The following is a 27,041-nucleotide window of genomic DNA, read 5'->3' on the forward strand; positions in this document are numbered from 1 at the left end:
AGGAGAAGAGAGAAGGGGGAAGAATGAATGTTAGATAGGCAACCAAACATGTTTACACAATTCTTCAGGGAGTATGATCTTTCTTACTTAGTGCCAGCTACTATTGCTGCCCTCCCTTCTTTTATTCTCTGTGTGGGCCTCAAGATGCCATACTGATCTACCTGCTTAATCTCTGAAGGAGCACACTGTATCTCAAAAATGTGACGCCTTAGTTGCTTCTGATTATCACACCACTGTGGCTATGATTTGTTTGTTTGCTGTGAAGGGCTTTTAGTTTCTTTAGATTATAAAAATAGGAATACAAAACAAAAACACTTTAAAAACTGAAGATATTACTGGTAGTCATTTCAAAGTATTCAGATATGGTTTTTTTCTTTCATTTTCTGCCTTTCCTGATTTTTCTTCAGGACATTTATATTGATTTTGTACTAAGGGAAAAACTATGGAACTTAAAAGATGTTTTTAAATTAAAAGAGTTAATAACATTTCAGTAAACCTACATTTTGTTTTCCTTTTGTAATTTTATTGTGCCCATCTAGTTGTAATAACATTTTGCCTTTTTGTTAGGTTTCCTAAAGACAAAAAAAAATGGAGGAATCTGTAAACCAAATGCAGCCACTGAATGAGAAGCAGATAGCCAATTCTCAGGATGGATATGTATGGCAAGTCACTGACATGAATCGACTACACCGGTTCTTATGTTTCGGTTCTGAAGGTGGGACTTATTATATCAAAGAACAGAAGTTGGGCCTTGAAAATGCTGAAGCTTTAATTAGATTGATTGAAGATGGCAGAGGATGTGAAGTGATACAAGAAATAAAGTCATTTAGTCAAGAAGGCAGAACCACAAAGCAAGAGCCTATGCTCTTTGCACTTGCCATTTGTTCCCAGTGCTCCGACATAAGCACAAAACAAGCAGCATTTAAAGCTGTTTCTGAAGTTTGTCGCATTCCTACCCATCTCTTTACTTTTATCCAGTTTAAGAAAGATCTGAAGGAAAGCATGAAATGTGGCATGTGGGGTCGTGCCCTCCGGAAGGCTATAGCGGACTGGTACAATGAGAAAGGTGGCATGGCCCTTGCTCTGGCAGTTACAAAATATAAACAGAGAAATGGCTGGTCTCACAAAGATCTATTAAGATTGTCACATCTTAAACCTTCCAGTGAAGGTAAGCATAAGATCTTCATTGGGAAGAAGGGTGGGTAAGGGATATTCAATAAATAGCAAATTTTTATTTAACATAAGACAAGTGTGTAATATTTTCTAGAAATAGCCTTTTATTCTCAAAATATACATTAATTCAAATATATTTAATGCCTTCCTGGGATTACACCCCTACCACAGGCGATCCAGACATTAATAATCAAGAATCAAATGACAGGTTTATAGGTTAATATTCTGAATCTTAAAATGCCACCGTCCTAACTGGAATGCTCACCCAAGTGATTCTGGACTGTGTAAGTAGCAGGGGCAAGACTAAAAGTTGCAATAAGCCTTGGATATGGGTACAGTCACTAGAAGGAACTGCTTTTGAGTTCCAGCTTTGCCAGTTACTCATCAGATATTCAAACTTGGTCTCAGTATAATCGTTTGTAAAACTTAGGTAACTGTACACAGCTGTTCCTTAAGATTATGTATAGAAAACTACTCTGTAACCAATAAAATGCTAAGTAGAAAAGCAAAAAAAAAAAAAAAAAGTTGCAATAAGCAAATCAGCTCCTTGCCAGTAGGCGGCAGATGGCCATGCTGTACCCACTGCTCTAGCCCATTCCTTTTTTCCCTCCCCATCTTCCTAGGAACCCATCTTCCATGGAACCTAAAGGAATATACCAGATATAGTGCTGAACTTAACAATTCAGGAAGTTAATTGTCTTCAGGCAGTTAGTCAGGGGACATAATAACTTGGGGCAGTTTTTCTGTATCTATGGAAAGAGACTTTTGAAAAGTTAGTTGGCTCCGTAATAATTACTAGTCCTTTTAAGAAAAGAAATAAGAAAAACTCTTGGGCAGGAGTAATTTGAAGTGTGAAGTTCCACAAAAATCAACATGTTCAAAATTTGACTTTTTTTTTTTTTTTGCACCGGAAGTGAAACTTGAAAAGACAGCCACTCAGAAGGGTGGGTTCACATTTCAGTTCTGTGGACTTAAGCCAAGTAAGTTAAGCTGAGTTTCTGACCTTCATCTATTAAAAGGAGGGTAAGGAGAATAAGCTTACAATTATTGAGACTAAATGTCCCAGCACCTAACATGTAGTAGAAGTACACTTTGGTTCTCTATTTCTCCCTTCCACACATATTTTTATATACAGAATCTCTTCAGTAATTCCTGACTTATTTTTTAACTATAACTGGGGTTTTTCAAATGAAATGTAAATAATAAATTGCAAATATTTATATGTATAAACATTTTATTTTGATTTTATTAGATTACATGTTTTAAAATAGTTGAATAATACAGAAAAATATGATGCAGTCCTACTCTTCAAAAGAAATAACTGCATATCAGCAGTCCACAACCCTTCTGATACCAGGGACTGGTTTTGTGGAAGACAGTTTTTCCGCAGGCAGTGGGGAGGGCAGGGTGGTTTCAGAATGAAACTGTTCCACCTCAGATCATCAGGCATCAGATTCTCATAAGGAGAGCGCAACCTAGATCCCTCACATGCTCAGATCATAGTAGGATTCGTGCTCTTATGAGACTAATGCCCAGCTACTGATCTGACAGGAAGTGGAGCTCACTTGCCTGCTGCTCACCTCCTGCTGTGCAGCCCAGTTCCTAACAGGCCACGGACTGGTATCCGTGTATAGCCTGGGAGTTGAGGGCCCTTGCTGTATATCAGATGTTGTAATTTACTCCAGATTTTTCCTAAACATATATTACTGTGTTTCACTAAATTTTGTTACATGCCTTCTATGTTTCAGTAAAAAGTATATTATTGCTATTGCTATTGCTGTTTCTTTCAGGTCAGTAGAAATAGTTGCATATATACCATTGTATGACTGTAATTTATTAGCTAGTCTCTTATTGACAAGAGTTGTTTCTGGTTTTTTTATACTGTTACAAAAATACTACAATGAAAACACTTGCATAGAGTACCTACTTTCATAATGGTTAAATCCACAAACAGTATGTGAAAGGGATCAGTGTACCCACATTTGAACACTTAACTGTTGTCATTATTTTTTAATCTCTTTCAGTAGAATCATGAAAGATTCTTTGAATTTACATTTTTGGGCAGAAGCTCATCTTTGCATGTGCTGATTATATATATATATACACCTATATATTGTATAATATAGTATATATAATATATAATGTTAGTATATAGTATAGTATGTAATATATATATACCTATATACATATATATACCTATATATGTATGCATATAATTATATGTATGTATATATAATATATATGTATGTGTGTGTATATATGTATAATTATACAATTACATCATAGCCCTTTTGTCCACTTAGTTACTGTCTTTTTAACTATTGATTGTGATCACTATTCATTCAACAAATATTTATTTATTTATTTGTTGTATTTATTTTGAGATGGAGTTTCACTTTTGTCACCCAGGCTGGAGTGCAATGGCACAATCTAGGCTCACTGTAACCTCCACCTCCCAGATTCAAGCAATTCTCCTGCCTCAGCCTCCCAAGTAGCTGGGATTACAAGCTCCTGCCGCCATGCTCTGCTAATTTTTGTATTTTTAGTAGAGGCAGGGTTTCACCATGTTGGTAATGCTGGTCTCGAACTCCTGACCTCAGGTGATCCGCCTGCCTTGGCCTCCCAAAGTGCTGGGATTATAGGCATGAACCACTGTGCCTGGCCCTCAGCAAATATTTATTGAGCACCTACTATGGATAGAAACTGTTCTAAGAACTTGGGGTTCATATTAGAGGAGTTGATAATGTATTATTTATATACAGTGCATGCATTTTTTCTTCTTTTTTTTCTTTGTCTTTTTTTTTTTTGGTTGGGGGACATTTCTGGCACACTAAAGTTTTGAATTTTAATGTAGTCAAATTTATCCATGTCTTCATAGGTTTATGTTTTGTGTTAGGATTAGAAGGGCCTTTTCCAACCTAAAATATTTATCTGTGGTTTTTTCCTAACATTTTCTTGGTTAAGAAACATTATTTTTTACATTTAAATTTTTTATCCAAATATTTGATCCAACATAAGAAGGACTTAGGCATCCAGCTTTATTTATTGGTTTGTTGAGATGTGTCTTGGAAGTGTGGAGCAAGTACTAGACTAAGAGAAAGACCGCCCATTACTAGTTCTAACTGGACCAATTAGTTTCTGAACTTGTGAAAATAATTATTCTGTGCTTTGTCTTTTTGGTCTATATAATGAGGAATTAGTAGATGTTTCCTAAACTTACTTCCACACATAGGATTCTTTAATTTGAAATTGTTGAGGGCAGAACTCACAGTTGAAACCATGTTAGTAATAGCAATATCACATTGGACAGAGAATCCCTAGCATTTCAAAGCTTAAAAATTTGGAAAAACTCTAAGCTACAGAATTAATAGTATTTTAATGCCTTTAAGTGTAATGTGTATTTATAACAGACAAAACAAGTCAAAATGTGATTCAAGTCATCAGGTATGGTATTTTTATTGTGCACCCACTGCATGGCCAGCGCAATTACAGAACCGGGTAGGATAAAACTGCTTTAAGGAATTTTTATTTTCACTGGAAAAACAAAATAGAAGATATACTCACAGGAAACATTTACTCATTTAAGATGATTTTGCACCAAAATCTGGAAGATAGCAAGAGTCACAATACTTGAGAAGTTCCTGCATGTTAGTGTTAACTTTTGATCAAGTTATTTAGCATTCAAAAATAACATAATAGGCTCAGTTGGCATAGAGATGTGTTTCATGTGGCCTATACAATATTTTTGGGTAAAAATGAATTCTTTGTCATTATCTTTAAAAATCGACATAAAAACCCATATTCTGGCTTCTCTTGAAAGTAAGTTTTTTTTCTTTTGGCAGCACTAAGTCAATACGTGTCTACACCACTTGTCAGGGCACACTCTGTTCAGTCACCACACCCTAACAACTCTCTATTACATCACTGTGTTTGTTTGTTTGTTTGTTTGTTTGAGACAGAGTCTCACTCTGTTGGCCAGGCTGGAGCACAGTGGCACGATCTTGGCCCACTGTAACCTCTGCCTCCTCAGTTCAAGTGATTCTCCTGCCTCAGCCTCCTGAGTAGCTGGTATTACAGGCATGTGCCACCACGCCCAGCTAATTTTTTTTTATTATACTTTAAGTTCTAGGGTACATGTGCACAACGTGCAGGTTTGTTACATATGTATACATGTGCCATGTTGGTGTGCTGCACCCATTAACTCGTCATTTAACGTTACGTATATCTCCTAATGCTATCCCTCCCCCCTCCCCCCACCCCACAACAGGCCCTGGTGTGTGATGTTCCCCTTCCTGTGTCCATGTGTTCTCATTGTTCAATTCCCACCTATGAGTGAGAACATGCAGTGTTTCGTTTTTTGTCCTTGCGATAGTTTGCTGAGAATGATGGTTTCCAGCTTCATCCATGTCCCTACAAAGGACATGAACTCATCCTTTTTATGGCTGCATAGTATTCCATGGTGTATATGTGCCACATTTTCTTAATCCAGTCTATCATTGCTGGACATTTGGGCTGGTTCCAAGTCTTTGCTATTGTGAATAGTGCCGCAATAAACATACGTGTGCATGTGTCTTTATAGCAGCATGATTTATAATCCTTTGGGTATATACCCCGTAATGGGATTGCTTGGTCAAATGGTATTTCTAGTTCTAGATCCCTGAGGAATCGCCACACTGACTTCCACAATGGTTGAACTAGTTTACAGTCCCACCAACAGTGTAAAAGTGTTCCTGTTTCTCCACATCCTCTCCAGCACCTGTTGTTTCCTGACTTTTTAATGATCGTCATTCTAACTGATGTGAGATGGTATCTCATTGTGGTTTTGAATTGCATTTCTCTGATGGCCAGTGATGATGAGCATGTTTTCATATGTCTTTTGGCTGCATAAATGTCTTCTTTTGAGAAGTGTCTGTTCATATCCTTCGCCCACTTTTTGATGGGGTTGTTTTTTTCTTGTAAATTTGTTTGAGTTCTTTGTAGATTCTGGATATTAGCCCCTTGTCAGATGAGTAGATTGCAAAAATTTTCTCCCATTCTGTAGGTTGCCTGTTCACTCTGATGGTAGTTTCTTTTGCTGTGCAGAAGCTCTTTAGTTGAATTAGATACCATTTGTGAATTTTGGCTTTTGTTGCCATTGCTTTTGGTGTTTTAGACATGAAGTCCTTGCCCACGCCTATGTCCTGAATGGTATTGCCTAGGTTTTCTTCTAGGGCTTTTATGGTTTTAGGTGTAACATGTAAGTCTTTAATCCATCTTGAATTAATTTTTGTATAAGGTGTAAGGAAGGGATCCAGTTTCAGCTTTCGAGATGGAGTTTTGCCACGTTGGGCACACTGTTCTCAAACCCCTGACCTCAGGTGATCCACACTCCTTGGCCTCCCAAAGTGCTAGCATTACAGGCATGAGCCATGGTGCCTGGCCTCACCGTGGTGGTTTTATTTATTTTATTTGCTTGTCCCTCATAGACATTTTAATGTTGTAATCCAATCCCTGCTGTTTTACAGAAGTGGTGAAACTAAGACCTAGAAAGACCACCATTTATTGGCAGAGTATAGGCTAGAACCCAGACTTTCTCACCCCCAATCCAAGGCTCTTTTCTCTTTCTTCTATTGGAAGAAATTGTGGAGGAAATCAACAAGTTACTGTTTCCTTTTTTTTTTTTTTTTGAGCAGTAATACTTCTCAGCTATTAAAACATAGTGTAAAAGAAGCTACCCTGTCCACTTCTACTTATTTCTGCTGTTTTTGTAAATATATATATTTTATTCAACAGCAAAAAGAGACAAGTGAATATAATTAATATAATATAATACATTACAATACAATACAATATTAATTGAGATAGATCTGTACTCTCGTGAGTTGTTCTGAGATTATGGACCTGAAACTTTCTAATGCTGGTGTCTTTAAAAAGAAAAGAAAGAAAAGCCTCTGTAACAAAATACTCAGGATACAGGTTTTTTTACTCTAAAGTCTCATATTTAAATAGTAATGATGGAATAAGAAAATTAATTCACCCCATTTGCTTAATTGTTATATCATGGAAAGCAGCATCCCAGTGTAAGGGCATTAACTCTTGTGTATCCAGTTATGTTGATCATATAATGCATTTTGAGGAAACATGTTCTGTTTTTTTACTTGGTAATCCTGCATGCTTTTTCAATTCTTTATCTTGTTAAAGGACTTGCAATTGTGACCAAATATATTACAAAGGGCTGGAAAGAAGTTCATGAATTGTATAAAGAAAAAGCACTCTCTGTGGAGACTGAAAAATTATTAAAGTATCTGGAGGCTGTAGAGAAAGTGAAGCGCACAAGAGATGAGCTAGAAGTCATTCATCTAATAGAAGAACATAGATTAGTTAGAGAACATCTTTTAACAAATCACTTAAAGTCTAAAGAGGTGAGTGAATTATATGTTACAGCATGTGATTAAACATGAGTAATTTAGTGTAGGTGCTAAAAGGATAAACTTGGGGTAGCTATATATTTATACTTTTAAAAAGAAATTATTTAAAATATATCTTGAAATTGATGTCTGTTTAAAACACCTACCATGATGTCCAACATGATGTAGGTGGCATTTGTGTTAGTTTCACTCCAGAAAATCTACTGCCTTGCTAATTAAAAAAAAAATCATCTATGCATTTCCTTCATAAAATATACTTCACATCCTTTTTCTAGTAAAAAACAAGTTAGCTTATTTGATAAGCCTTTTACTTAGACATTTTTCATTCTGAAAGTACTTTGAACCCCAAATGAAAGCCTCAGAGACTGTATTATGAATATTTTTTTATATAGGTATGTTATACTGATTTATTTTCCCTTAATTCCTGGTATTTCTGCCTATGTTATTGCAATAGGTATGGAAGGCTTTGTTACAAGAAATGCCGCTTACTGCATTACTAAGGAATCTAGGAAAGATGACTGCTAATTCAGTACTTGAACCAGGAAATTCAGAAGTATCTTTAGTATGTGAAAAACTGTGTAATGAAAAACTATTAAAAAAGGTAAGCATTATCATTGTTCTTTATTAGCTACTACTAACTGAGAAAGTGGCTCCTAAATTTTAGAAATGCCGTCAGTGCATTTTTAAGGTATTTCGAGATGTTCATTATACCAAATTGCATTATGGCTCTTAAGTGTAAGTTTAATACATTTTCATTTTTCTCTTTTCTATATGAAATGTAGTTATTAGCTACAATAACACAAAAATCTAAGGAGTATACATAATCACTGTTTTTTGCTAAAATTTTCCTTATACTTTGTTTCTAGGCTCGTATACATCCATTTCATATTTTGATCGCATTAGAAACTTACAAGACAGGTCATGGTCTCAGAGGGAAACTGAAGTGGCGCCCTGATGAAGAAATTTTGAAAGCATTGGATGCTGCTTTTTATAAAACATTTAAGGTAGTGATATGATTTTTGTTTTAAAACAAATGACTGAAGACTTAATATCTTTTGTAATAATACATTTTAAAGGTAGTATTAATAGTTTAATCATTTTTTAATTAGGTATTCATTTGTTTTTCTTTAGTTCATATGTGGTGAGTATATAATTAATATCGTGTAAGTTTAAGAGTAAAGTATTTCTCTTTACCTTTGGGTAGCAACTAATTATTCTAAGATCATTTTGGTAACTTTTAAGTTACTAACTGTATTAGTTTGTTCTCACAGTGCTATAAAGAAATACCTGAGACTGAGTAGTTTATAAAGAAGAGAGGTTTAATCGGCTCATGGTTCCACAGGTTGTAGAGGAAGCACAGTGGCTACTGCCCTGCTTCTGAGGATGCCTTGGGAAACTTACAATCATGGCAGAAGGGGAAGCAAACACGTCCTTCTTCACATGGCAGCAGGAAGAAGTGATGAGCATAAGGGGGGAAGCTCCTTATAAAACCATCAGATCTCGTGAGAACTCATTCACTATCACAAGAACAGTATAGGGGAAATCGCCCCCATGATTCAATTATCTCTACCTGGTCCCACCCTTGAACATGTGGGGATTATGGGAACTACAATTCAAGATGAGATTTGGGTGGGGACACAGCCAAACCATATCAACAATCTTGGCAGAAGGGGGAATATGGTGCTAAACTATTAGAAACTGCCCCCATGATCCAGTCACCTCCCAGAAGGTCCCACCTTCAACATTGGGGATTACAGTGAACATAAGATTGGTGTGGAGACACAAATCCAACCCATATCACTAACTTTAGAAATTTGCATTCCTGTCAGGTCCTTTGACTTGGTCCTCTGTTTTCCCCATTAATTGGTAGATAGATCTCATCAGTCTTGATAAAAAATGAGTTTTTTAGTAATGGAAATCTCACATCAAAGACACAAGCTAAAACATCTTGCTATATAACAAAATACTAGCAACCAAAGTCAGCAGCAAAATAGAAGGATTACATACTATAACCAAGTGATATTCATCCCTGGCATACAAAGATAGTACAACATATGACAACCAATCAATGTAATACATCACATTAGTAGAATGAAGTGACAAAAACCACATAATCATCTTACTGATGCAGAAAAAGCATTTCACAAATTTCAACATTCCTTCATGATGAAAAATAAAACCACTAAACCTGAAATGAACTTCCTCAACATGATAAAGTCCAGAGATTTAAAAAACAAAGATGTTTAAACCCCATAGCTAATGTCATAATGGTGAGTGATTGTAAGATTTTCCCCTAAAATCAAGAAAAAGACAAGGATGCCCAGTTTTTCCACTTTAATTCCACATAGTATTGGAAGTTGTAGTAATAAGGCAAGAAAATGAAATAATGAAAGACATTGCAATTGGAAAGAAAGAAGTAAAATTATCCTCAGATGCCATGATCTTGTATTTAGAAAACCCTAAAGTTAACAAATGAATTCAGCAAAGTTACAGGGTATAAAACCAACACATAAAAATCAGTTGTATTTCTATATACTAGCAATGAACAATCCAAAAAAAGAAATTAAGAAAACATTTCCATTTACAAGATCATCAAAAAATAAAAGACAGGAGTAAATTTAAGAAGCTGTAAGACTTATACACTGAGAACTACAAAACATTGCTAAAAGAAATTAAGTCATGAATAAATAGAAACACATCTGTGTTTACAGATTGGAAGACTTAATATTGTTAAGATGACAATACTATCCAAAGCAGCCAATCTACAGATTGAATGCAGTCCCTTTCAAAATCCCAATGGCATGTTTTACAGAGATAGAAAAACCCATTCTAAAATTCCTAAGAAATTTCAAGTGACCCCAAATAGCCAAAACAATCTTTAAAAAAAGAACAAACCTGGAGGACTCTTCAGTAACTCTTTCAGTTACTACAAAGCTGCAGTAATCAAAACAGTGTGGCACTGGCAAAAGAATAAACATATAGACCAATGAAATAGAAAGTCCAGAGATAAAACCTTGCATATATGTTCAGTTGACTTTTTTTTTTTTTTTTTTTTTTTTGAGACAGAGTCTCACTGTGCCACCCAGTTTGGAGTGCAGTGGTGCAATATCAGCTCACTGCAACCTCCGCCTCCTGGGTTCAAGTGATTCTTATGCCTCAGCCTCCCAAGTAGCTGGGATTACAGGCATGCGCCACCACACTCAACTAATTTATTCCATTTTTAGTAGGGACAGGGTTTCACTGTGTTGGCCAGTCTGTTCTTGAACTCCTTGCCTCAAGTGATCCGCCCACCTTGGCCTCCCAAAGTGCTGGGATTACAGGCGTGAACCACTGCATCTGGATGTCTGTTGACTTTTGATAAGGGTGCCAAGATGATTCACTGGGGAAAGGACAATCTTCAACAAATGGTATTGGGAAAACTGCATATCCACATACAAAAGAATGAAGTTGGACCATTATCTTACACCAAATACAAGAATTAGTTCAAAGTGGATCAGTGACTAAATTTAAGAGCTAAAACTAGAAAACACCAAAAACACAGGCAGCAAAAGAAAAAATAAATTGAACTTCATCAAACTTAAACATTTTGTATATTAAAGGATACTATCAAGACAGTTAAAAGATAATCTACACAATGGGAGAAAATATTTGCAGACCATATGTCCGATAAGGGCCTAATATCCAGAATACTGAAAACTACAAATTCAGCAAAAGTACAAACCCAATTTAAAAATGGGCAAAGTACTTGAATAGACATTTTTCTAATGATATACAAATGAGTAATAAAAACATGAAAAGGGCCAGGTGCAGTGGCTCACGCCTGTAATCCCAGCACTTTGGGAGGCCGATAAGGGTTGATCACCTGAGGTCAGGAGTTCGAGACCAGCCTGGCCAACATGGTGATACCCCGTCTCTAAAAAAAAAAAAAAAAAAAATTAGCTGAGTGTGGTGGCGGGCGCCTGTAATCCCAGCTACTCATGAGGTTGAGGCAGGAGAATCTCTTGAACCCAGGAGGTGGAGGTTACAGTGAGCTGAGATTGTGCCGTTGCACTCCACCCTGGGCAACAAGAGTGAAACTCTGTCTCAAAAAACAAAAAAAAAACATGAAAAATACTCAACATCATTAATAATCAGAGAAATGCAAATCAAGATGACAGTGTAATAACTACTTCACATCTAGTTGGATAGCTAATATCAAAAAAGCAGAAAACAAGAGTTGGGGAAGATGTGGAGAAATTGGAACCCTAGTGTATTTCTGGTGGGAATGTAAAATGGTAAAATGGTGTAGCCCCTGTGGAAAACAATTTGGCAGTTCTCAAAAGGTTAAACGTAGAATTACCATACCATCCAGCAATTCCATTTCTAGGTATATACCCAAAAGAATTGTAAACAGGTATTCAAACAGATATCTGTATACCAGTAGTCACAGTAGCATTATTCACAATAGCCAAGAGTTAAATGTATTCTTGTCTTTTATTTTTGATGCTATTGTGAACAAATGTTTTCTTAGTTTTCTTTTTTGAATTGTTCATTGCTAGTATATAGAAATACAACTGATTTTGATGAACAACCCAAATGTTCATCAGCAGATGGATAAGCAAAATGTGGTATATATAATGGAATATTATTCAGCCTTAGAAAAGAATTAAATTTGATACATGCTACACCATGGATAAATCTCGAAAAGATTATACTAAGTAAAATAAGCCAGACAAACAAGGACAAGTATTGTATGATTCCATTATATGAGATATCTACAGCAGGAAAATTTATAGAGACAGAAAGTGGAATAGAAGTTGCCAGGGGCTAGGGAGAGACATGGCAATGGGGAGTTACTACCTAATTGGTACAAGTTCTATTTGGGATGATGAAAAAGTTCTTGAAATAGATAGAGGTGATAGTTACACAACATTGCGAATGTACTTAATGCCACCAAATTGTACATCTAAAAATGGTTAAAAAGGTCAAATTTATGTTATATTTTACCACAATAAAAATTTCCTACTAAAAATTCTCATTTTACTTCAATGAGGAAAGATTTTAAAAATAGGATGGTAACTTATTTAACTAAAATTATTGAATAGGTTATTTCCTTTGTTTTACCTGTAAAAGCTAAGTATTTTTATTATTTTTTTTTAATTTTCAGTCATAGCTGCTATGCCAGATGAGCATTTTTAAATAGTTGTCAATTGGTATATCAAAAATCTGAAGGCCTTTTATCAGTCTTTTTAATGTAAGATAAGTAAATATGATTTAGAAATTTAGTCTACTTATAATTTCTGTTATGCTTTTAATGATTGTTTTGTTTTCTCTGTAGACAGTTGAACCAACTGGAAAACGTTTCTTACTAGCTGTTGATGTCAGTGCTTCTATGAACCAAAGAGTTTTGGGTAGTATACTCAACGCTAGTACAGTTGCTGCAGCAATGTGCATGGTGAGAACACCTAAGACAATTTTGCCATTCTAAAAACATGTTTACTGTAGAGCAAAACTATAAGATTAATAATGATTAAGAATTATGTTTTCACTTTTTTCTGTCATTTCAGCTTGTCACATTTTTAATTTTATATTTAAAGATAATTGTGTAAAGCCAGAGTGTTAAGTGTGTTGAAAAAGTATGTCTAAAGAACAAGCAGAGTAGAAATTTTAATTTTTACAACAAAAGATTAAATATTAATGGATTTTTTAGGAAGTAGATAATGCTTAGATAAAATGAAAAAAAGACAAATTTTTTAAAAATTTATTTTAAAAATAATGCTTAAATTATTTAACGATTTGAAGCTTAAAAGATCTGGGAACTAATAGGAGTGTCTAGAGACTTTAGTTCTATCCTGTCAGTGAATAACAAACAGATGAATAGTAGGCAAACTTTTTAGCTTCTTTACTGGGGCTTTATTTCTTATCTAATGAAATGAGAAGAATATTTACTGTATTTGCTTCAAAGGATAGTCATGATAGCCAGTTTTTTTGTGAAAGTACTTTGAAAGCTGTACTACTGTTAATGTATAGTTCTAAAACACACTAATAAAAAGTTAAGAAATAAACATCAGTGTTTCTTTTAAACATGAAGTTGGATAAAATTCAAAATATTGTATTTCCCCCCAAATTTGCTGAAAATTACTGCCATTGAATTTTTCAGGTTGTCACACGAACAGAAAAAGATTCTTATGTAGTTGCTTTTTCCGATGAAATGGTACCATGTCCAGTGACTACAGATATGACCTTACAACAGGTTTTAATGGCTATGAGTCAGGTAAGAAACTGTGTTTTTTAAGTTTACTTAGTTAAGTTTACATAACGTGTAGAATGATTTTATATTGATGTCATGTATGGTATTAATCTGTGAGAACAAAATTTTTTTTGTCTTAATTTTTGCATGACAAGTACAAAACCGAAAATATATATGCAGGCTTTGGGAAGGCTGTATATATTGGTGCTAAACAAAATGATACTGTAAAAACTAGTATTTTTAAGGATTTATTTACTTATTTATTCATGCTTTTGTTCCGAATTAGATCCCAGCAGGTGGAACTGATTGCTCTCTTCCAATGATCTGGGCTCAGAAGACAAACACACCTGCTGATGTCTTCATTGTATTCACTGATAATGAGACCTTTGCTGGAGGTGTCCATCCTGCTATTGCTCTGAGGGAGTATCGAAAGGTAAAACAAATTCTAATACGGTTCCTCACCCAAATAATATTATTTTAATACTTGATTTTTTTTTTTTTTTTTTGGAGACAGGACCTCATTCTGTTGCCCTGGCTGGAGTGCAGTGGCTCAGTCATAGCTCACTGCAACCTCAACCTCCCAGGCTTAAGTGATTCTCCCACCACAGCCTCCCAAGTAGCTGGAACTACAGGAGCGTGCCACCATGCCCACCTAATTTTTTGTAGGAATGGGGTTTCACCATGTTGCCCAGGCTGGTCTCAAACTCCTAGGCTCAAGCGATTCTCCAGCCTTGGCTTCCCAACGTGCTGGGATTACAGCCACCACACCTGGCCATTCTTGATTCTTATTCACTTATGTGTTTCAAAAAATGTTACTACAAGTAGTTCTGTATCTTATATAGGAGCCAGTGTCCGTTATAGACTCAGCAGTACTTAAAATAAGAAAAAGTATTGATTACACACATAAAATTTATTTTAACCAGTTTCCATTGCTAAACATTACTAAGAATATCCTTTGCAAACAGTATTTTTGGTAATAATCAGAATATTTGTTTTACCTTAGCTGTAAGTTTTTTTTAATAATTCAGTGTGCTCCTTGAAAAATTGAAAGTATTAGTGAGTTTTGCAAAAGGATTACATAAAATTAAAGCTATAATCTATGCTCTATGTTTTATGGACATATCTGTGTTCTAATCAGTATCCTCCAGTTGAGCTTTCTGAAATGACATAAATCTTCACTCTCCAATGTGGGTTGCCACTAATCACATGGGACTTTTGAGCACTTAAAATATGGCTAGTGTGACTAGAAGTAGAAATAGAACTTGTTGATGAAGAGTAGTGGTTCTCAAAGTGTGGTTTCCCTACCAGCAGTCTTAGCCTCACCTGCGACCGTATTAGAAATGCAAATTCCTGAGGCCCGTCAGAGACCTGCTGAATCAGAAACTCTGACGTTGGGACTGTGTTTTAACAAGCCCTCCAGAGGATTTCTGATGCAGGCTTAAGTTTGAAAGCTGCAGGTAAGGGAATAGTTTTGTTTTGTTTTGTTTTGTTTTTTTAAGAAATGGGGTCTCCATCACTGGAGTGCAATGGTGCTATCATAGCTTACTGTAACTTGAAATTCTGGCCTCCCAAAGCACTGAGATTACAGCCATGAGGCACTGCCCAACCAGGATAGAATGTAGAGTAAAGACTGTTTGGTTGTGAGTCCCGAGTCTTTCTCTTACTCTGTGTGGACCTGAGCAAATTATTTAACTGATCTACATCATAGTAAGTTACTTACCTCTTAGAGTTGTTTTAACAGTTACGGTAGATGTATTATTTAAACAGTGCATTGTAGTTTCTCATGTGTATACATTCAGTGATTGTTGGTTTTTCTCAAAAATTCAATTATTTTAATCTTACATTTAGCTGTAGAGGACAAGTTCTTACGTGGAACATGTGTATATCGCACATATCAAAGTCATCAGCCAAAAGTTGATCATCCCAGAGATATGTCCTTATATATACTCATACACACTGCCCCAGCATTTGATATGTTGATAAAAATATCTGGCACCCTTAATAACCTGACAGGTTTCATAAGTACAAAGTGCCTAGGCTGCTCAATAATGTACACTGCAGCCCATAGAACAAGTAAAGTAATTGAAGAGAGAAGTAGAAATTTCAGGCAGATTCTTATACAATTTTATTGTCCCTTCTTCTAAAACTCCCATATTCTAGCCTTAAAAGATTGACCCCCGCAAAAAAATGACTTTGTATTTAAAAAGCTCTGGTAGAGAAATGTTAAAGTGTTTTAATTTTGGAGGTATTTTGCATTTCCTTACATTTATGTTTTTAATATGTATTTTGGTCTTTTTCTACAGAAAATGGATATTCCAGCTAAATTGATTGTTTGTGGAATGACATCAAATGGTTTCACCATTGCAGACCCAGATGATAGAGGCATGTTGGATATGTGCGGCTTTGATACTGGAGCTCTGGATGTAATTCGAAATTTCACATTAGATATGATTTAACCATAAGCAGCAGCACGATCCAGAGATCCATTGCCATCAGTGATCTCACTAAAAATATACAGCTACTTCCCAGCTAATCTCCACCCAATGAATGATGATGGTATAGTATGTGCATAATGGAAAGTTACCTTACTGAAAAAAAAAAAAGAAGGAAAAATAAGATGGGCCCAAAGGTCTATCTACTAAACTAGCTCTTGGGGAAATAGCTTCAGGATACTGTAGTTTCCTCTATCTAATAGAGAACTTTTTGTTAACAGACACTGTAAAATAGTTTTGCTTTGTTGAATAATACGTGTGTACCTAAAAGAGGTAAGAGCAAAAAGTGTAATTCCACATCATGTTACTTGAGAAGTGCTTAACGTTTTCTTAAATGTTTTCATTGGGAAAGGACAGCTTTGATAATGTCCAAATACTCTGAAATGCACTAGACCATATAACTGTGATGAAATATGAAACTCATCTGTAAACTTTTATACCAAGGGGGTAAAAAAAAAAACTAAGGCATTTGATTAAATTATGAATGAGTTTTACAAATTCCTTTCAGAGTTTTACTAAGATCACACAAATAACAGCTTTCTTATTCAGTGAAAAAGATATTTTATTTCTGATGTTTTATTTGCACTTGTGGAATATGTTACCATTAATCAGAAACATCATGGCAACCCCTAAGAATAGACTAAGTTTGTGTTGGCTGAGGGATTCTATTTGGTTTGCTTTTTTTTTTTTGCTTTGTTATATTTTATTGCTACAAGGGGTGTGACTTGATAATGATTTCCTCTGAATTATAATAACATAGCCAGATGTAGTCTCACACTGTTTTTCATACTCTTAAGTGTAAATAATATAAAATGTTTCAAGCGCTTAACTCCCCCTCATTCACAAAGTATAACAATTAAAATCTCAACTATAACCAGTTTAGCTTTTTCCTTACTTTTAAAATAAAATTTTTTACTTTTAACTATTTTTTTAGTTAATATTTTTAAAAGTATACATGTCAATGGCCTCTTTGTCCATTATTCATTTTGTGGCAAAATATTCTTCTTTGATAGTGTAAACAAATAATAAAGCAATCTAGGTCCTTTAGGTTTGAAAGGCAATTTTTGAGTAGCATATTACCAGCTAGCCAGTCACTAGGAATTTTTTTCAGTATTATTTGTATGTATTAAACTTTTCATTACACTAAAGTGCATTATTTTATTGAGCAAGTATCCTTCATTGTGAGGTTTAACATTAAAGCAATCTGTTGAAATGCCATTATCTTTGCTCATAATTTTATTATGGCCGTCTAAGGTAGCTTACACATAAAACCTGTTTGCGTATCTGTTGTTCTCTAAATATTAATTGAAGATTTACTGAGGATTTGTAAGGTCCTTCTCGCTGTTATGTGAAAAGTCAAACTGTAGTTAATGTAAATTATAGCCTTTTAGGTGCTTGGGGGTTAGAGGGTTTATGTTTTTTGGGAAAGGGGGACTTTAGTAGTCTGAGGATTTCTGTACATATTTTCTTCTGTTTTATGTGAAATTTGGGCTCTGGGAATAAGAAAATATTCCTTTCAAATTTATTTGACATATTAATGCTGGTTTTGATATGTACCCATTCCTTCAAGGCAACTGGTATCAGTTTTTAAGTGTGATTTACCTGAGATATTTTTGTTCAGCAAAGCTCATAGCACCCTCACCCCCACTCCAGACATGCATTGCTTCTGATGTTGTTCACGTTTTTAACCCTGTCAAGCATTGAACTGAATATATTAGCTACTTTTGACACATTAAAATATTACGTTCAGATTGAATTTAAAGTTTAAAGAAACTAATAGAATTACGTAATAGTTATTGAATTGTTTAAGTAAACCCAAGATCTTAAAAATTATAACATGATCATTTTATTCCTAATAGAAATGTTAAATAGAATATAGTACAAAAGTGCATTACCTTCAGTTGTGTACTATTTCCATAATACTTTTAGACAAATATATCTATAAGTTAATATTAAATCCATCAAGGATACAAGATTGGATGGATATGACCTTTCTGAAGTATTTAGGTAGGTCTAATTAAATGGACTAGGGTAACATTTAAGAAAGAAAGGATAAGTAGGAGAAGCTACCACAGAAGGTAACTTTTCAAATCATGGCATATTTGAGCTGGAAGAAACCTTAGAAACCTAAAAGCTAATTTTTTAAATTTTTGTTAGAGAGCTGAGGTCCAAGACAGAGTGTGATTTTGAAGTACTATAACCTAGAAATCTTGGTCTCTTCATTCCTGTGCCAGAATTTATTTCCCCACAACATGGGAATACATGGTCTCAGAAGAGTAGAGGATAAAATAAAATTATTTAAGACTTTTACCTTATTGAGTTATTAGGAAATAATGTATATACGATTGCTTTAGGAGTAGAAAAATAGAATGGGAACATGTATAATCTTGTAATTCATAGGAATCCTCAAGCACAATTAACCTGTGTTGCTATATATATCTACATATATAGAGAAAAAACAAAAACTTTACCTCATTATGAATAAAATGTACTGAAGTGATAAGTTTTTTATTTCCTGAGTTACTTTTAGGATTACTGTTAAATTAATATTTGGGAAAATACTGCTTTTAAAAACAATCCTGCAAGAATAAACAAACTTTATTTCCTAGGTAGTATGTAAATAGTTCCAGGATATAGTTGTAATTAGTAAAACAAAAACTAATCTTATAATCCCACCCTTTATTAGTTGAAAGTTCTTGGAAATTCCATTTATTAATACTTATATTATTTAGTAATCTATCTTATGAGAGTGTTAGTGAGGCAAGATGCTAGTGAATGGAATTTAGTGTTACCCTTTGACACCTCCTTTGCTTTATCTAACTTACTGTGTGACTGTAGACAACCAGTTTAACCTAAGTGATTTGATTATTTTTATCCTTAAAAAGTAACATATCTGTGCTTGGATCATAGAAGAATCAGTGATTTAATATTTGTATAAAAATTGAAACTGGGAAGAGGGCTTGCAATACAAGTTAGAATTCTTTTTTTTTTTGGTTAAAAACATTCTTGTTAATAAGATACGTATTTCAAAAGATAAAATGTTTTAGAAAAATAGCTCACTCAATAGGCCTAACAGTGTTTTAAAACATTCCTGTTCAGAGTAGAAAAATTTAGAAGAAAAATTTTCACAGCTAAAGTATTACCCAAAAAGTCACTATTCTCTACTGAAGAGGGAGAAAAAATATACTCCAAGATCTTCTTGGACAGACCTAGAAAAACAAGCTTATACTCTGAGGAAATGCTGTTAACAAACTTTTTTTTTTGAGACAGGCTATCCCTCTGTCACCCAGGCTGGAGTGGCATGATCACAGCTCACTGCAGCCTTGACCTCCCAAGTTCAAGTGATCTTCCCAAGTAGCCAGGAACACTGGTGTGCACTGCACTACCACGCCTGCTTTTTTTTTTTTTTTTTTTTTTTTTTTTTTTAAGAGACAACGTCTCACTGTGTTGCCCAGGCTGGTGTCAAACTCCTGGGCTCAAGGGATCTTCCTGCCTTGGCCTCCCGAAGTGCTGGAATTAGAGGCATGAGCCACTGCACCCAGCCAGCAAACATTCTCTTAATCTTTTAAAGTAACCAGTAAATCTACAAATAGTAAAGTACTATTTTCATCAGGGATTTTTTTTTTCTTATTTTCTAGATTTTACAGAAACAATGTGAAATTATTTTGGAAAGATAAGGTAGGATTCTTGAATAAATCTGAAGGTCTCACAATTAAGTGAGAAACACCTTTAAAAGCATAGTAAAGCTACACCTAAATAACTAAAGCCTAAATCATTGTAATGTTTTGTTGGACTTACTTTAACTTGACCTGTTGTAGCCACAAATAACAAATTTCTTGGTAACTGATGCTATTACAGTAGGTAATCAAAAATGAAAAATTCTAGTCTTATATACTGCAGGTTTGGGGTGATTGTTAAGGCACTATCCCCTCTGGAGAAATGTCATATGGCATCAGTGTAAACATGCACAAGAAAGAATTTGTAAAAAAAAATGACAGGTTAATCAATGAAATTAGTTGTATTTACTGTTTGGATTTTATTTAGTGTTTCCTTGATGTCTGTTTCCTCATCTCTTATTTGTTGGAAGATTACTTTTCTACCTCTTTTTTTTCTTTTAAAATTCCTTTCTTACATTTCTGTTGTTTCTTTTTCTAGTCCTTCTCTATCTGGATAATAAAATGAATGACAGGAAAGTCACCCACATAGAGGTTTGGGATGAACCTTTTGCAGATTGCTTTTTGTTTCATACAAGTATAAGATCATATTTTCTTTTTCAACTTAGTAATAGGCAGGCTTCTTGGAACAATAAGTAGATTGATACACTCCTCCCCAAATCAAATTATATTGTATATCTTTTATATTAGATGTTTGCAGAAATTCTGTGGCCTTTAAGATCAGTTATTCAGCCTTTGTAATTATGTTATCTAGCTATGTTGAAAAGATAAGTGCTTACTATATAAGCACTCTTAGAAAAATAATTAACTGATTACTCTTTCAGAAAATAGCAGGTGTCTCAATGCTTTTTTTCCATAATTATAAAGACCATTGTCAAAATCTTTGGTTTACTAAATATTTCACTGAGCATATATAGAGATACGTTGCTTGTGGCATAAAAAGTCTTGTAGATAACTTACTCACATTTGGCTTTTTTTTAATTGGTGCATTTTTTAATTTGCTTTTTTGAAAATTATGAAGTTAAAATTTAATTCTAAGGTAGTATTTTTCATGTATAAAACTAATAATGTAGTTAAGCATACTGTTTGAATAAAATTATAATAAATGGCACAATTCCTTAAACCCTGAAAATACCAAGTTATATTGGAAAATAGTGGAAAGAAAAAACTAGTGGAGAACATCTTAGAAAATTCTATTGTGGAAATTACGATGATTATTTTCAGTGAGAATGAATTTATATATACAACAAAAATATACAAAAGCTAACCTTCTCATCCTAAAAAGATTTTTCCCTTTGCTTCTGTTTTATTTAGCCCTGCCATGCACCACATTAATTTTATGAACATAAATGATATTTAACTTTTCTTTTTTTTTTTTTTTTTGAGACAGAGTCTCACTCCGTCACCAGGCTGGAGTGCGGTGGCGCGATCTCAGCTCACTGCAACCTCCATTTCCCAGGTTCAAGCAATTCTCCTGCCTCAGCCTCCCAAGTAGCTGGGATTACAGGCACGCGCCACCACGCCCACCTAATTTTTGTATTTTTAGTAGAGACGGGGTTTCACCATGTTGGTCAGGCTGGCCTCGATCTCGTGACCTCGTGATCTGTCCGCCTCGGCCTTCCAAAGTGCTAGGATTACAGGCGTGAGCCACCGCACCTGGCCAACTTTTCATCTTAAGTTGTTTAAATTTATGCACTTTTAGATATCAGAATATATGCTTGAACAAAGGAAATAGTAAATTAGCTATATGTCTGCTGGTTTCACTTCGATGTGGATATGGATATGTGGATAAAGACAGTAAATGAAATTAAAACCCTGCTGTTTTAAATATCATTACCAGATATAATTGAGGGAATATTATATCAACAAACATATTGAAACTTGGCTTTATTTGTAACGTAAACTATATATAATCCATACGTAGCCAAATTAGATTTAAAATATACAATTAATGAATAGTACTCAAAGTGTTTTTGTTGCACTGTTACTCTGAATATGGACTCTCTATATCTGGTATGGCGTGACTGGGCATAACTTCTGTAATGTATTTCAGTTATATGTTTTTCCTTTTATTGCCAGCTTCTGATAATGAAATTTTCCAAAGGGATGAGATATAAGAATCATCTTTTATAAAAACCAGTGGGGAGTGGGGTATTATAATCTAGTTCTAAACTGTCCATTTGCTTTATATAAAGGCTTTGATTTCAATAACTGACCATTTGATGAATATTTAAATTACACAGAATAATGTCTACATAGAATAAACTTAAGTATTCAAGAGCCTTAAAGTGAAAAAATGAACCTTTTGACTGCCTTAAAATACTACTTGCTCTGTAATTCAGGCATACTAGTTACTTTCCTTGGGGTCTGTTTAAATAATGCCTTAATAGTGTTCTAATGTTTCTGAAATACAGAACTCAAAGGGTCTTTTAGAGCTTTTAATTTTACATAGTGAATGGAAATTTAAGTATTACATTTTAAAACCTGATTGTACATTGGTAATTTAAACATCCAATAACAGGAAAATCTAGATACAGTGATGTGTTATACATACATGACTGTTAACATCAGTAATATTTTATGATAGTTTAAGGTTTTTTATTGTTTTCTATAACAAGTTATCCAACAGGTTGGACTTTGTAACATGATATCCAAGGACCAAGTTGCATATTTAACATCGAATGAAAATGTAGTTGTACAGTTCCAAAAATAATTAATTTTTTAAGGGAATTTTTCAAGACAAAAGGCAAATATTTTGTTTCAAACCTACAAGCAAATTCATTCCAAGAAGTGAATATAGTAGTAAAACATAAAGACTATTGCAATAAAAAGTTTCCAGGCCAGTGACTTGTTTAATTACATTCACATTTTTACATTCACTTTGCCTTTCAAAGCAGGAGTATTTTATAAAACTGAAATAAAACTTTAAATTGTCAAGCTGGTGCTTAAAGTTATGTAAAATCTGATTTAAGTTTATTTCATTTCCAAGGAAAGGACCCTGAAAGGAGGGGACAGGGAGCTTCCTAGGTCTGTTGATAAACTAACTGATGCTTTGTCAAGTCTTCCAAGTTTTCACTGTAAATAATACAACTAACAATGTAATTTTGCTGTTTTCTAATAGAGAATGAATGAATATATTAATGTATTACATTTGTTTCATGATAAAACAGTTTTCACTGATACTGTGAAATCCTTTCTCTCCTTTCTAGCCTTGCAAAATACCCTACTAAATAAATCATTTTAGACATGGAGTGCAGGTGGACACTGTGTGAACTGTTTTTGGTCAGTTATTGTAGAAATTGATAGATGTACCAAATAAACTCTATGCACATTAAACAAGTGTCTGTCTATCTCTTTCAAGAAATACGAATGTTAAGGTTATAATATGCCTTAAAAAATCTAAAGCCTTTAGTAATCTTGTATTTGAACAAGGTAAAATTTAAGTTTTGATAATTAATATTGACCTTTTAATGTATCTAGTTTTATGTAAGTATTAAAAGTATATGAAGTTAAAGATTCTTTACCCATGGAATTCAATTATAACAAAATGATTAGATTTAATGAAAACAAATTATTTAAAGTTTTAAAATAGGATTCTTTTGTGAAAAGATCTACTCAAAATTGCCTTTGGCAAAAGTTATCATCCAAACACAAAAAGTCAACTATGCAAATAAAAACACTGTTTCAGTGCCAATTTGCAGACATTTTTCTCTCAATTCCCATAAAAATTTTCTGAAAAGTTCTAAGATCTGAACTGTGGGTAACTGAAAGCAAGTTACATCAGAATATATTCACCAAAACTTCAAAACATTTGGTTGATTTTACAGCACTCATTTCAACACTTGTACAAGAAGGATCACAAATTATACATACTAGATTTAATAAATTTTAACAATATTAAACCTTATGAAGAAAACCTGACTTTAAAAGATGTTGTTCAAATGGTAATTTTTTATCAGTAAACAGTAAAATCCAGGTACAGAAGATCCCTTTTTTTCTTCAACAGCTTTTCAATTACAGATATTTTGGCAATTAAAATGTAAATTGATTATCTAATGATAAAGTGAAAAATGGCCTAGTTTTTTATATTAATGAACTCCAGTAAACAGCTCGTATTTCAGATCTTAAAATAAAGGGCCGGGCATTGTGGCTTACACCTGTAATCATAGCACTTCAGGAGGCCAAAGGAGGAGGACTGCTTGAGCCTAGGAGTTCAAAACTAAAAAGTTGTAACTATGGGGATCTTGCTGGGCAACACAGTAAGACCCCCATATTTACAAAAAACTAAAAAGAATTAGTTGAGCATGGTGGCATGTGCCTGTAGCCCTAGCTATTCAGAAGGCTACGGTAGGAGGATCACTTCAGCCCAGGAGTTTGAGGCTGCAGTGAGCCATGATAGAGCCACTGTTCTCCATCCTGGGCTACAGAGGGAGACCCTGTCTCAAAAAAAAAAAAAAAAATGTAAATAAAAAATGTAAAAATAAGGACTGAGGAAAAAAATTACAAGTTTTTCTTAGTCACCATTATCTTACTTTTATCCAGCTGTAAGGTATGGAAAGGGAGAAGAAATGGAAATCAATATCCAAGACAACACGAAACCCCAGAGGCTTCCCCTGCCCCCTAAATTCTTGGCTGGGTACAGGCAGGAATCTTGGAAAACCCTGATGGGTCCACAAGAAAACACACATACCTGAACCATTGTGATTAATGATAGCCATTATGTATTGTCTATTAAAAACCACTCTGAAAGATTTACATGTATTATCTCCATTCCTCAAAAAGTAAATCCTAAAGGAAAGTACTATTACCTACATTTTATAAGAAACTTGAAGTTCTGGGAGGTTAAGTCACCTACCTAATGGTTACACCTTTAGTGATCTGAACGCTTGTCTGTCTTGGCAAATCATCAGCTATGCTCTGAAAGTATATTACGAATTTTTTTAACTGAAGATTTAGTGGTGGTATGCTGTGGTCTCCTATCTAAATCTTTCTCCCTTAACCCCCAGCTTTGTAACCAGCCCCTTGCATACAGTTAAAACTAAAGCTGTTGGCATTCCACGATTGGCACTGTCAGTAAGGGAGCTGCTGGCTTCAGTGCTTCCCTATATCCTTGGATTCTGCTCCTGGTTTTGTTTTCCTCTTGGAGAGTCCCTATACTTTTTAAAACCTGCTTAGCCTTGCATTTTTAAAAATTTATTATTGTGTCCGATATTTTAAACGTTTTAGAGCGGCAAGCTTTTGTTATTATTGTTTTGGGGTTTTTTTCAAAGATATTTAATGTGCCATATGACAAAAAGAGGTCAGATTTATTGTTATTTTCTTTCATTCCTTAGCGTTTAACAAATAGGAGAGATCTGCTTCCTTTTTGATGCAGTGCTAAACCCTCCAAAGTAAAAATCTTTTATTAGTCAATGAGTTTAATTCAGAAGACTAAGATGCAGATATTAGAAGGGTTTATTTCTTCTATTTTAAATAAAGCCATAGTGAGAATCAGGTATCATATTACCTTCAGTAGAGTTTTTGAGGCTTTTGATAAGGCTTCTCTCCCTAATGTTGAATTCTTTCAAGATCTGAACATAATCAAGAACGAACCACCACTCGCCTCTCACCCTATGTCCTACCAGTCTAGGAAGCATTGATAAAAGATGTTTCTTCACAGGCCAGGTGCAGTGGCTCATGCCTGTAATCCTAGCACTTTGGGAGGCCAAGGCAGGCGGATCGCCTGAGCTCAGGAGTTTGAGACCAGCCTGGCCAACGTGGCGAAATCCTGGCTGTACTAAAAATACAAAAAATTAGCGAAGTGTGGTGGTGCTCGCCTGTAGTCCCAGCTACTCTCAGGAGGCTGAGGATTGAGAATCGCTTGTACCCAGGAAGTGGAAGTTGCAGTGAGCTGAGATTGCGCCATTGCCCCCCAGTCTGAGCAACGGAGCGAGACTGTTTCAAAAAAAAAATGCTAAAGGTAAAGATGTTTTTCACAGTCGAGTACTGGTCAGTGTTTCTATACCTTGAAGTAACTTGTCTCTACCCTTAATACCTAGTATGATGAACAATTATGACACAATTTTACCTTTCTCAGGTAATAGACTTCAACTCTAACAAAATGTGTTTTCAGAATCCCCAAAAGCCTGAATCTAACAACGATTTTACAACATAGCAAGAACTTTCTTATGACATAATGCAAAATAAAGAACTAAAGACATTCTACTCTTTGTTCCATTCTAGTGTTATAACCTAAATTATCACATGGGAATGAAATTCTTGTCTAAATTCTTGATCAAGAGGTTTCCTAATGGCAGTTTAAATCCAAGTAAGAAGCATCATTGATGGCAAAAGGCCAAGGAAGCCACCAGCTATTTTCTTCAGGACTGTTCCAGATTCTCTGGTCCATCCTGACAAAAACCAGAAGCACTCTTGAAATCCATTTTTCCTCCACCTCTGATGAAGGGTTTTTTCTTCTCAGCATCTGGTAATCTGCCCCAAGTGACTCTGTGGGATCAACTAGGAAAATGCTTTGTATAGTAGGCACTTTAAAAATTCTTGTTGATAGGAAGCTGGAAAGACGATTTCATTAATGAAGTACTGAACGTCTTCAATCATTGTAAAGTAAGACTTCCTATAGGATAAATCTTGTTTGCTAAGTTTAGCTGAATTGAAATCAGTTTGAATAGTATTCCCAGTATTGAACACATTAAGTGTTCAAAGGCTCTTGGAAATTGAGTTAAATTGTGAGGTGGAGAGTTCTGCTTTCCAGAATTTATATATATATATGTATTACAATACACATAAGGCCGGGCACGGTGGCTCATGCCTGTAATCCCAGCACTTTGGGAAGCCGAGGCAGGTGGATCATGAGGTCAGGAGTTTGAGACCAGTCTGGCCAAGATGGTGAAACCCCGTCTCTACTAAAAAATACAAAAATTAGCCAGGTGCGGTGGCGGGCACATGTGATCCCAGCTACTCAGGATGCTGAGGCAGGAGAATTGCTTGAACGCGGGAGGCGGAGTTTGCAGTGAGCCGAGATCGCGCCACTGCACTCTAGCCTGGGCGACAAAGCAAGACTCTGTCT

General features: G+C 34.8%; 1 protein-coding gene across 16 annotated transcripts in view; it reads left to right on the top strand.

Moving 5' to 3' along the window:
* The window catches only part of RO60 (Ro60, Y RNA binding protein), a 32,166-nt gene extending 8,855 nt beyond the window's left edge, over positions 1–23,311 (top strand). For 5 of the 16 annotated variants that reach the window (XM_047428924.1, XM_006711497.4, NM_001173524.2 and 2 more), the window contains 8 exons: positions 568–1,168; positions 7,354–7,574; positions 8,035–8,181; positions 8,447–8,584; positions 12,898–13,014; positions 13,720–13,833; positions 14,096–14,242; positions 16,113–22,753. In XM_047428924.1, coding sequence (XP_047284880.1) covers positions 589–1,168; positions 7,354–7,574; positions 8,035–8,181; positions 8,447–8,584; positions 12,898–13,014; positions 13,720–13,833; positions 14,096–14,242; positions 16,113–16,265 — 1,617 coding nt within the window. In that variant the 5' untranslated portion in view covers positions 568–588 and the 3' untranslated portion in view covers positions 16,266–22,753. Of the gene's footprint in view, positions 1–567; positions 1,169–2,087; positions 2,154–7,353; positions 7,575–8,034; positions 8,182–8,446; positions 8,585–12,897; positions 13,015–13,719; positions 13,834–14,095; positions 14,243–16,112; positions 22,754–23,184 lie in introns of those variants that run through there. The other 11 variants (XM_006711496.4, XM_006711495.5, XM_047428920.1 and 8 more) reach the window with 7 other exon arrangements.

This window comes from Homo sapiens, chromosome 1 (assembly GCF_000001405.40).
Source record: "Homo sapiens chromosome 1, GRCh38.p14 Primary Assembly".
NCBI classification, from domain to species: Eukaryota; Metazoa; Chordata; class Mammalia; order Primates; family Hominidae; genus Homo; species Homo sapiens.